Genomic DNA, 12,922 nt, shown 5'->3' with positions numbered 1-12,922 from the left:
ATGTTGATGTGGCTGAATCAGATCAAATAAGCGCTTTTGGATTTTAGGATTTGCTAGGTTTGGAAATACTACCAGATGGATCTAAATTACTCCCTTTGCTGTGCTTGCATAACGTAGTCCTACACTCCAAGCAGCATTTTATGCATTTGTAAACTCTCTGCCCTTGTTTTACTGGGGTCCAGGAGGGCAAATGTGGTGGCTTGTTTAGCCTAGTGTCCCACGTAACCACAGGGATTAGCCTGTGGTTGGGGCCACGTAAATATTTAAGTGAAAGCTCTGTGGGAAACCTACCCAGCATATTCCTCCTAAGGCTGAAGGTAAAAGATTTGGTCTTTGACAGGCTATTAATATTTCTCCTCTGGAGCAGAGTGTAAAGAAGGAGATATATATTAGTTAGATCTTTCTCACTTGCAGATGACAGAAACCCAAATCAAACTGGGCTTCATTCAGAATAGGAAACCAATTCCTTGTTTCAGTTAAGGAATGTGTTCCCCATCAACAACAAAAAAATATGCAACCGAAGTCTTAAGTAGATATGGGGGTTAGTTTTCTGATCCCAAAGGCTGCTACAGGCACTCATGGAATTCATTTTGGACCTTTTACCCTTCTGTCCAATCATTCTTAATATGTGGCTTTCATAGGAAAAACAGGGAAGGAAAAATTGCAAAACTTTCTTCTTAGCAAGACTTGGCCTTTTTATTTATAAAGGAAACCTCCTCGAGGACTTTGGCTCACATGTCGGCTCTCACTGTGATCAGATTGCAAAAGGGGTGGGGGAATAATAGCTCTTATTTTTGTTTGTTTGTTTGTTTTGAGATGGAGTTTTGCTCTTGTCACCTAGGGTGGAGTGCAGTGGTGCAATCTCGGCTCACTGCAACCTCCACCTCCTGGGTTTAATCGATTTTTCTGCCTCAGCCTCCTGAGTAGCTGGGATTACAGGCATCTGCCACCACGCCCAGCTAATTTTTGTATTTTTAGTAGAGACGGGGTTTCACCATGTTGGTCAGGCTGGTCTCAAACTCCTGACCTCAGGTGATCCACCCACCTCGGCCTCCCAAAGTGCTGGGATTGCCCAGCCCACTCTTATGTTTTTAAGGTACATCTTAGAGGCAGGCAAGGGAGAAGGGTTGGAAATGGAGGTTTACTCAGGGAACTAACAGTGTCTTTCACACTCTTAGATTGGGAAAATCCAAGGAGATGGTTTGCTTTTGTTGGTTGGATCCAGAGGCTCCAATACCACTCCCTCAAAGTGGTATCAAAAATATAAATGCACCATAAAGATGGAATCCTAGGTTATTAACCAAGCATAGGCCACTTGAACAGAGGTGTTCTGGGCATCTAGGTCAAATTCTCTTTACATTTGGTTAGTGGCTTAGGATCATGGCATACTTTTGTTTGCTTTACGTATGGGCTGTGATGTTCTTATATAGCCTTGTTCTTACTGGACTTTGTAATTGCCTGTTTTCTCATTTACAGAAGTAATATTTGTCTTCATTCTCTCAAAACTATAATTTATTTTCTTGATTATACAAACTTTTTGAATGCGTTATGAACTAACTGCTTTCAGGACTTGCTGAACAGCTGACATTTATTTTCCTTTTATTCTTGGCTTAATTCTACTTTTCTTGGACTCTATTTTCCTTTTTCTTAGACATATTTTTAATTTTCCTGGAGTATATTATAAAGTAAGTTTTCAGAAACAGTACATGGCAAGTATACTTTGAGCCTCTGCTTATCCGTCCTCATGCTTAATTGGTAATTTGGCTGGATATGAAATTCTGAGTTTAAAATAATCTTCCCTTAGCATTTGAAAGAATTTCTCTCTACCAATCAATGCTACTGACCCTCGTACCTTTGATGGACCTTTCTTTGGAGACTCTGTTTTCTCATTATCAAGATATTGTGACATTTTATGAGAATCTTTTTTCCTTTATTCTGCTCAGCACCTGTGGGCTCTTCCAATCTGAAGACTTGGGTTCAGTAGATTGATGTTAGGCTTCCTGGATTTACTCTTAAATTGTCCTACCAAACTTTTTTGTTTTCCTCCTTCCACTCACCCAGTTTTCTGGGGATTTCATCATTCTTTTATCATTTCATCCTTTCTAATGAATTTTTAACTTCAATATGCAATCTTTTCTATATGGATGTTTTTGTTTTATATATGTATTTTGTGTTTTCTAATATCTTTGACCACACTCAGATGTTTTTCCCCCTAAAATTCTCTTCTGCTTTAGCTCCATGAGTTATGATCTCTGTCTTCTCTGGGATCGGTTTCATTTTTTCCGTATTTATCTTTTTTCCCCAGCTTTCTTCATATGTAGTCATCCTTGCTTACCTATCCATATGGATGCCTGAAGGATGTGTAGCAGCTGACTTAGCTTCCCTCCTCCTTGTGCTCATCTGCTGCCCCTGTTGGCCTTTTCTTTCACTAGGAGTATGGGTTGTGAGCTCTGAAATTGAGGGCATAGTATGTCAAAGAGCAGGTTTCACTTTAGGGTGTGTCAAGGTGAAGCAAGCAGGATGGGGAGAGGTTCCCACAATGCCAGAGGAGAGATCCCCACCAGGGTCTGCAAGTCCCTCCTGGCAGATCACTTGCTCCCTTTGGAGAGTAGGTAGATGTTTGACTTCAGACTAGGGGCCAACCGTGCCACCACCCTGATAGGCTGGTGAAAAGGAGGCCATGCTAAGCTACCATCCTGCAGGCAGTTTTGCAGATGTACCCTCCTTTCAGTTTCTGTACGTCTAATCTCAGATGCTGCCAACTTCCACCTCCATTCTTGCCTTCCACCTGCATGTGTCCCAAGCTCTGCTGTGGTTTACTTCTCAGTATGCTCTCATCTGACCTATACGAATCTTTAGTCCATTTATGTGCCCCAGTGGGTTGGGGTAGGGAGATGTCTTGCTTCTTAATCTAGAAGCCCTGGGGTATTACATATTTTAAAATTACATTTTTGAGAAATTAATTCTCACATAATAAAAATTCAAGAAGTACAGAAGGGCATGCAGGGGAAAATAAGGCTTTCTTGAACCCACTCTCCATGTTCGCCAGTTCCCTTGCAAGAAGCAAATGCTCTTAGCAGTTTCCTGCATATTTGCAGAGAGGTTATGACATATACATTTAAGAAAAATCATTTTGGTTGTTGTGTTATAGTATGGACTAGGTTTGGAGTGAGGTGGGAGGAGATAGAAACTGGAGTCTGGGGGTGCCATAGCAACTACAGTGGTCTAGACCAGCAGTCCCTAATCTTTTGGCACCAGGGACCAGTTTCCTGGAAGACAATTTTTCCATGGACCTGGGTGGTGGAGTGGGTAGGGGATTGTTTCAGGATGATTCAAGTGCATTACATTTATTGTGCCCTTTATTTCTATTATTATTACATTGTAATATATAATGAAATAATTACACAACTCACTGTAATACAGAATCAATGGGAATCCTGAGCTTGTTTTCCTGCAACTAGACTGTCCCATCTGGGGGTGATGGCAGACAGCGACAGATCATAAGGCATTAGATTCTCACAGGGAGCTTGCAACCTAGATCCCTCACGTGCTCAGTTTACAATAGAGTTCATGCTCTAATGAAGATCTAATGCAATGCCACCACTGATCTGATGGAAGGCAGAGCTCAGTTAGTGAGTGATGGGGAGCAGCTGTAAATACAGATGAAGCTTCTCTCACTCGCCCACCCACCACTCACCTCCTGCTTTGCGGCCTCGTACCAGATCTGTGGGCCCGGGGGCTGGGGACCCTTGTGGTCTAGGCAATGGGGAGGCTCTACACTAAGATAATGGGATGGGAATGAAGGGCCGACATGCTTGATCAAGATAATTCCACTAAGAAGTAAACAGGATCTAGCCACTGGTTAGGTGTTGGCAGGACGTCAGGGATAAATGGAGGAATAGGGTTGTGGTGAAAAGAAAGCAGGACTCTCTGTTGATTTTTGTGGAAAAAGGGTGGGGTTTTATTTGATTTAATCTGGTAATTTTACTGAGAATCTGAATACTTTGATTGTCTCTTTTAAGGTCTTGAAACCTTAATAATTTGCCATCTCTGCTCCTGTTCCTCTTCTTTTTGCATGTCCCCTCAGGCCACCAGTGGGTTTCTGAGACTAACAATCTGAAGTAATTTTTGTAGGCGTCGTTGAATATGCATCATTCCCACTTCCTATAGAGGAGAGATAGCAAACTGGAAACTCAGCAGCCAAGTACAGCAGCCCATAGGCATGTTTGGGCTCAGTATTTTGTTTTGTTTTGAACTTGAGTTAACATTTTTAAAAACTGAGACTTCCCCAAACTCTGAATTTATCGCCTTTTTTGAGAAGTCAGAAGATCTGGCAAAACTAGAACAGTCTTCCTCACTGTGGTAATGGGGTAAGTATGAGAAGCTTTGAAGGGTTGTACCTTCTCCACGAGGCCACAGCCCCTATCCCTCAGTCCAGATCTATATGTGAACTTACTGCTGCCCTCCTGAATCATTTAGTTACCTGCCAGGCCCCTTAGTCCCGTGTTTGTCACCCTGGCTATAGAGATCACACTGCAAGAGATTTCCAACTATCAGAAAAGCTGTCTGTATCTTAAAGTTTATCATAGTACACATTATGGTGGTATTCCTTTTCCAAGCACAAATGAATGGGAGAAATGGAAACATGAATTCTAACAGTTGAAATCAAATGTAGGCAATACCAACTTAAAAAAACGCAGACAGTGCTAATTAAAGTTATGGAAGAAAATACCTTTTGGCTTGGCCAGATTGATGTAAATATTTCTTACAATACAGTTAGTACATATGGCATTTGCAAAGGTGGTGGTGTGAGAAGTAGAATTTGCCTGAGGTTTGTAAGCCAGAAGACTGGGTGACTTTATTTTCCTGTGAACAGTTACGATGTGTGGAAAAGTGAGGCCAAATAGAACACTTTTGATTGTATTGTTAAAATAGGACCTTAAGAAACCCCTCTGGATAAATTCTCTACCTCTTAAGTCAGTAAGGAAAAGGTATAAATCCTTTGTGTGACCTGTTACAGAGAACCTTGTCAGGCAAGACAGTTTATTGGAATGATGTACCCTAAATTTACCTGTTGCAGGGGCTGTGTTTTTCTAAGGCTATCCTAGGGAGTTCCCTTTGTGTAGGTCGACCTTGGACTGACCCCAAGATTTCCAGTCATCAGAATGTAGGAAGTAGAGGGAGTGGAATTACACATGCTTGGAACTCAGCCCCTTAGAAAAAGCCACATGCGTTTTCCAGCATTGGCCGTCTTTGTCTTCAGTTTTGAGTCCCTGAATATTTGATCTGAATTCCCCACACCACTTACACAAACAGTTCCATGCACTCCTCAGGAAGCGTGTGACATAATTTTGTGATTGATGTTAGGATTCCAATAACAAGAACACAGGATCACAGAAAAGGTCTGGTAACCTGAGTAACTTTTTAAAAACAATTATTTATAAAGGCACATGTCTCTGTGAAGGAACAGATGTTGGGAGGCAGCGTGCTGTGGGAGCAGGCTGCACTGGGATGATGACTCAAGAAACAGAGGTTCTAACCCCAGCTCTGCCTGCGTCATGTTACGTGACCTTTGAGCAAGTTTTTCCTACATCTCCTTTTCTTCTTGTGTAAACTGAGGAGGTTGGACTAAACAATCTTCCAGTTTTCCCACGTTGGACGTTTGAGCAGTCACTTGTTCTCATTATCTTTGCTTTACAGAGTGAGAATCCTAAGGAAGATGCTCCTTGGTGACTCTGTCCTCAGACATAATGGTTGGCCTCCCCTTCCCTGAGATAATGACAGAGTGCCCTGTGTGACTTATGTCATTGGTGGGTCTTCACTGACCATCTTCAACTCCTGCTGTTTGCAGTACACCTCAGACACTATGGGAAGCAAAGCTGGCCTTATGGGGAGACAGTCTTTTCCATTTGGGTTTCAGCATGCCAAGGAAGTTTTTTTTCCTTTCAGATGTTTCTTCTTATTTGGTGGTGGTTCCTGAAATACTGCATTATATTTCTTATTTCCCTCCGCCACTTTTTTGGCTTCTTGGAAACTGTGCATTGGAGTCTGAAGAGGCTATTAACATGGCAAATCTTAGAGTCACAGAGAATTAGTTAAGTAGATGGTAAAACCAAAGGCGTGGGGGTAGAGGGTGATACCAGAGTAAGGAGCAGTGGATAAGGGGGCCTGAAGGCCAACTTCGTCTGTCTGATACATTTGTCCTGCCCTGGTCCTGGGTGAGCAGGTTTGAAAGGGAGATGAAGCATGCTGCTCTGACTAGCTCTGCTCTCTGCCCTGAAACCCAACAGTGGCAGGTGGAGTTTTATACACCCCAAACACACAGATATACAGAGACAGCCAGATTTACCTGCTTATTTTTGGGGGGTGAGCCAAGAGGAAAGGAGAGAAGAGGCACAGAAGAGAAAATATTAACTAATGGAACAGCAGCTGAGCAGAGGCTGGAATGAATGGGATCACAACATAGGTACAGGGCATATGTTTGGCAGACGTAAAAGGAAATCTTGTCTCCACAGAAAGCTGTGAAGGAAAACAGTGAGTAGCATGTAGCTTGCACAATGCAGAGATATAAGGAATTGTTTTTCTTCTGACTTCATCTCAGTAAAGTTGGTAAGTCTCACTGTCCTCATCCCTCTGCTGACCCCCTGAGCTTTCTGTGTTTTATTTGGTTCTGAGCAGATCTTGATACTGTTGTGATTGGCATCTTTCAAGGAGAATGGTTTTTATAGAGTAAACAACAGGGACTCTGTTTTCTTCCATATCAGCTCACCCTTCTGTTTCTGGATCCACAGACAGTGTGGTGTCCAATCAATTGTTTAGAGAGAGAGAGAGAGAGAGAGCTGGGTGCGGTGGCTCACGCCTGTAATCCCAGCACTTTGGGAGGCCGAGGCAGGCAGATCACGAGGTCAGGAGTTCGAGACCAGCCTGACCAACATGGTGAAACCCCATCTCTACTAAAAATACAAAAATTAGCCAGGCATGGTGATGCACACCTGTAATCCCAGCTACTCGGGAGGCTGAGGCAGGAAAATCACTTGAACCCAGGAGGCGGAGGCAGCAATGAGCAGAGGCTGCAGTGAGCTGAGATCATGCCGCTGCACTCTAGCCTGGGTGACACAGTGAGACTCCATCTCAAAAAAAAAAAAAGAAGAGAGAGAGAATGAGAGCACATGCAGCATGTGCACTGAGAACCAGGGAACATTGTTCTGTCCTGTTTCTGCTGAGGGGAATCTTATATCAAAACCCTACCGTTAACATGGGATAGGAAGGTGGAAATAGCTTTGCTATTCAAGACCCTTCTTGGTGAATATGTTGGACGAACCAGACTTGAACTATGTCTCTTGGCATTTAGAGGGTCAACCGGGGTTTCAACACTAGGGAAATTTGGGAAGCAGCCAATTTCATATACTCTTCATATACAGGTTGAGAATTCCTTATCTAAAATGCCTGGGGCCAGAGGTGTTTTGGATTTTGGATTTGGATTTTCAAAGTTGGGATGCTCATCCTGTATCGACTTTACTCAGATATAAAATTTATTTTTATATTTACTGAGGCAATGAAGTGACAGTAACATAAAACTGAGCATAGTACCTGCTTTGATGCCCATGATCTAATAACCCCATCCAGTGTGTTTTTCTGTGTTCTGTTACTTTGATTCCTTGGGCATTTAATACTGTACTACTGAGTTGTAAAGCTCCCTCCTGCCTTTCTTTTATGTGTGATCTTTTTTTTTTTTTTTTTTTTAAATAGATACAAGGTCTCACTCTTGACACCCAGGCTGGAGTGCAGTGGCACAATTATAGCTCACTGTAACCTGGAACTCTTGGGCTCAAGTAATCCTCCCACGTCAGCCTGGAGTAACCAGGATATATGCTTTCTTTATTCTTAGCTTCCTTTTGAGGCTTTTCCTTCTCTGCCCCCTTCCCTGACTTCTGCTTCTTCCAGCCCCCTAACTATGAAGTGTGCCCCAGGCTGAGATCTGGGACTCCTTGGATATCTCATTCACCCTCAAGGTTAGGCTCTTGGTTTTGGGCGACTCTCAACACTGTGCTTCCTGATGGCTTTCCAGGGCTTTAGTTCAGCATCTGACTTGTAAATGGCTGTTGGATATATCTTCATAGGTGACCATACACTCCCCTGCTGCCGTCTATCATCCCTCCCTCTGGTTATGGTGACACCATTCTCCCATACATCTCTACTTGAAGATTGAGAGCCTTGATTGCTCCACATCCAGTAGATGGCCAAATCCCATTTACTTTTCCTTTAGGACGTCCTTTGTTACATCCATCTGTCCCTCTGTGGACCGGTCCCCATCACCTCATTCCTAAACTGCTGAGTCTCCTCTCAGTTTCCCTGCCTCCAGCCCTTCTTCAGTCCACCTTGTACTGTATTTCCAGAGTGATCCTTAAGACGCTGCCTTGTATATACCACTTTTATTTCTACTAAAACTTCCATGTGAAGAAATTTCTACCAGTAGAAATCTTTAGTAACTATCTAGAAAATAGTCTCAATTCCTTAGCTTGCCATTGAAAGCATTCTGTAGTTTTCCTGCTTTGTTCTCTTTACTCTTCACTTAGTTTTCTGTTGACTTAAATGTATCATGAGCCATCATTCCAAGGTCTACCTTTGTGTGCTGGGGGTGCTATAGTTCTCCCATCTCCCTCCCTTTCTTAACATGGTCTTTACCTTAGTTGTCTACTCTTTCCACTGAATGCACCTGCCTTCACAAAGCTTTTGTCAGTTGCCCCTTGATGAAACCCCCACTTCTGGATTCCTGTAGGATTTTTTGCTAATCATATTATCACTTATGTTTTCAAGTATACGCCCTACCTTCCTCCATATGTGTAAACTACTCCAGGGCAGGGGTCATGTCTTAAGACGTTACCTTTCCAGTGTCCAGCACCTTCCTTTGTCATAAACCATTTGAGGACAAAGGTGAAAGAGCAGACTCTGAAATGGACCGAACAGTGGACTGAGTGAAGAAAGCCTCTGGAAGTCGCAGAGAGCCTTGCCAAGACTCCGGATCTCTCCTAGCTTCAGTTTTTGCCTCCTGCTTAAATATAAAGGGGGCTGGTCTGTGACCTCAGAATCTATTTCTCAGGTCCTAAACCTAATGTTATGTGAATGACTCCAGTGATTGGATTTGGAAACACTGCATTGCAAGCCTCTCCCCTTCCCTGTTGTGATGATTAAACAAGGAGAGTAGAGTGCTTTACAGAAGTAACACATAACTTCAGGAAGACAATAAAAAGTTCACAAGATAAAGTAGGATTTTTTCCTAACCACAATCACAGAAAGTGATGAGACAGTTTTCAAGAAAAAAGCTGACAGCTGGAGACAAAAGACAGTATCTCCGCCTGGGATTCATTTACTTGGCTCTCAGCCTCTGTATCCAAAATAGGATTCGCTGCTGCTTTCCATTCCTCCAGCATTCACCAAAGTAGTCACTTGGCTTTCCTGTTTTCCTAAAAATTAAGCCATTCCTTCTCTCCTACACAACCCCTCGCCCTAGAGCCGTGGCTGAAATTCCTCCCTTAAGTTTCACAATGTAACGTCACTTCCCCTCTTTCTGTGGGGTAGGCTTTTCCCCTTTACTTCCCTCTTCCTCTAAATCAAGATGAGACTTCACGAGAAATTGCTTTAAAAAAGATGAACTTTTCAGCTTATCAATTTAAAAAGTAAATATTTCAGTGGGTAGGGATCTCATTGTATTGAACCTCTGATTAGAGATTATTCCACAAGCAAGTGGAAACATGTTTTAACTGCCTCCAGAACCCTAAAATGTCTAGAATGTGACTTGTTTTGGAGTCCTGAAATTCTGGCTACAGGCTCTTGTCCTTCCATGGTTTATCAAATTCTCTGCTAGTAAGCCATCTTTTATAACTAAATCTAAATGTCTCTCTTTTCTACCAAGAGTTTATTCTTTTTTGTTCCCCATCTTCCCCTCGGGAAATATTTTTGGCAGGGACCTTATCTCAAAAGCCTTTATAACAAGATCTTTTTCTGAAACCTCTGAAGTAATACTGTTCTCCTTGGCCTCAGTGTCATGAGAAGCCCAGACTTCCATACACTTTCTGATCCCATTAGATGTTGATTACATTGTTGGCCCCTACTCCTGGTGACTTTTTTCCTTTCAAAGTGGCAGTTGCTGTGATTGAATGGGTTTTAAATTGTCACAGTATGAGTTCTTTATGGCTAGGATTCCTTTGGATTTTCCATCATTTGTGGGGAAGGGATGAAAAACGGAGAAAATAAAAGTATGAGGCTTTGTCAGACATTTATTACTGAAACTGAGAAGCTGAAACTGAGAAGCCTTATATTCTCTAGGAAGGTTACAGGGTGGTAGCACAGTTTCAAAATTAATCACCAGGAGTTTTGTTTCTCACAGTGGATTCCAAACCTGCTATTATCCTGGTGGCATACCTCTTCTTGGCCTTATGTCCTTGGTTGCTTCAAGGACATAAGGCTTGGTTGTGGCAAGGACTAAATTCTACTTTGCTTACCTTTTTCCCTGACCAGTTAGGTTGTTTATGGCTTGTGGAGATATTTAAAATATTTCATTGGGTTAAAAAAAAACAGATGACTTGGAGAACACAAGAGAGAGGACATAAGATATTTCTTTGGTTTGTCCCTCAAGGTTGGGTTGAACCTTAGTGGGAAAAAAGTATTACTTTTTTTTTTTTTTTTTTGAGATGGAGTTTCTCTCGTTGCCTAGGCTGGAATGCAGTGGTGCGATCTTGGCTTACTGCAACTTCTGCCTCCCTGGTTCAAGCCGTTCTCCTGCCTCGGCCTCCTGGTGAATAGCTGGGATTACAGGCACATGCCACCACGCCCGGCTAATTTTATTTTTAGCAGAGACGGGGTTTCATCATATTGGTCGGGCTGGTCTCAAACTCCTGACCTCAGGTGATCTGCCTGCCTCAGCCTCCCAAAGTGCTGGAATGTGCTTTCCAGAAGCAAAAGCTACCCGAATGATTTAATATGGCACTTCTGTGGAATTTTTAACCCACAATGGCTAATCAATATTAAGTTTCTCATACTTGTGGGCAGTATTGCTGCCTGAACAACAGTGGAGAAGCTCAGATTTTATTTGACAAATTTGTTATAGTGGATTTTCATTTTATATATATTTGGGTAGTGCTGTGCTTATACAAATATATAGATCTGGTGCTTGGAGGATAGTAGTAAAGTGAAACATTGTTTTCTTAATTACTTTAGGGAAGCACCTCTTCCTATTGTTTAGCTATCTTTACTTCTAGCCTCCAAGAGTGGAAATCAGTAAACTCACTTAGTGAAACCATTTTTCTAGTGGAAGAGTAGATACAGACTTGCACTAATTTTGTTTCCTTCCATTTGGAGTTTGACATTTCATCTTTCAGGCTAAGTAAATTTCAATCATGAGAGACTCCTAGTAACCAAATGTTGTATTTAGAAATGTTATTTAAAGCTGTTATTTTTTATTTTTAAAGCTGGAACGTCTAAAGTTTCATAATGTATAGGCTTAACTTCAGAGCACATGTTAAACACATTCTCATTCTAACTCTAGAGATTATATAGAGTATTACATAATTTGGAGTATTTCCTCCATTTGCTCAAAGTGTTAGCTATTGGAAGATCAAAATATATTTGTCCCTGTAGGCTTTAAGTTGTAAACCTACTTGTAGATTATTTAACTGTATTTATTTTACAGATCTACATTTCATAAAAATATGGATGATCATTCCTTGTGTTGTTAAAAATATATCATTAGCTGAGGCCAACAATTACATCCACATTACATATGCTATTTGGGGGTGAGAGAGGCATGTTCCCATTTACAAATTTATTAGAGAAGCCAGATCTATTAGAATCAATTATGTAGATTTAGATAATTTTGATATTTCCATGTATGCTATCCAAAGACACATCTTAACCAGATTTGTGTGTGTTGACTTTGCCTGCAGTGTAGAATGGATCCTGTCATCTGTTTACTGTTGGTGGGTATTGAACTATATTGATGTTCCAATCCATTGCATGGCTCCATGAACAAAATTTGAATCTGGCTCAAGCCGGGTGTTGGATGGGTGGCAGAAGCAGAGGAAGGGTGTTAGCAGAGCTGAAGCAAGGAAAGAGAGAAGGAAATGCTAGGTGTGCTAAGAACTGCCATGTTGTTGCTTGGCTAGAGCATTGGGCAAACGGAGGGCAGTCCTGAGAGGTGTGTCCCAGAGCCATGAGCCCGTCCTCAAGGCCTGAGCTCCTGGCTGGGAGTTGCTAACTTCGTTCAGGAGGCAATTGAGCCAGTGACCGGTTTTAAACAGAAAGAAGGATAAACACACTAGGCATGGCCAGCGCCTTTGAATTGTTTTCCAGAAACCAAGGTTTGGCCTGGCTTCCAACATTTGGCAGAATGAAACTTTGGAGAAGGAAAGGAACAGTGGAGGCCCATGGCTCAGATTATGTGCTTTCATTTAATACCTTTTATTCTTTCAGTCAAAGCCTGTAGTAACTGAGGTCTGTGGTATTCATACTACAGAGTTCTCTGTTCTTTTAGGGAATGTGGTCAAGGTGAGAGACAGTAGTCCTGTACGTGTGAAGGGTTAAGGCAGAGACCTGGAGTATAGGAGTATAGGATACTCACAAGTAGTATCCTATAGCTGCCGAAGCTTTGTTGCCCTGTGAGTTAGTAATTGTTTCTTTTAATAAAATAATCTTGTCTTTACCTTCCATTTATATGTGCTGATGATTCATTACCAGAAGAGGGCTGATGTAGCTACTTCTAGATCATGCCAGTACATGATACCATTCCATTAAAAACCAAAACAAAACAAAAAAAACAAAAACACATGCTTGGTAACAGCCATTTTTAGACCTGGGCTAAAAAGCTAAAAATGTTGATTGTAAGATAATAGGCAGAAAGCATAGTTGTTCATTTCAGAATTCATTA

At 41.9% G+C, this 12,922-nt stretch overlaps 1 protein-coding gene across 2 annotated transcripts in view, besides 1 other annotated feature; it reads left to right on the top strand.

The window, feature by feature from the left end:
* Positions 1-12,922, top strand: part of MCC (MCC regulator of Wnt signaling pathway) — a 466,348-nt gene that overhangs the window by 232,475 nt on the left and 220,951 nt on the right. The window lies entirely within an intron of this gene.
* Positions 10,594-11,369: an enhancer, noted in NCBI's record as "H3K27ac hESC enhancer chr5:112580307-112581082 (GRCh37/hg19 assembly coordinates)". NCBI's record gives its function as "activates a minimal SCP1, AML or CMV promoter by ChIP-STARR-seq in naive H9 embryonic stem cells {active_cell/tissue: H9 hESC(naive)}" and the evidence as "EXISTENCE:reporter gene assay evidence [ECO:0000049][PMID:30033119]".

This window comes from Homo sapiens, chromosome 5 (genome assembly GCF_000001405.40).
Source record: "Homo sapiens chromosome 5, GRCh38.p14 Primary Assembly".
Taxonomy (NCBI): Eukaryota; Metazoa; Chordata; class Mammalia; order Primates; family Hominidae; genus Homo; species Homo sapiens.
The sequence above is the reverse complement of the archived record's forward strand: the minus strand, read 5'-3'. Positions and strand labels throughout refer to the sequence as shown.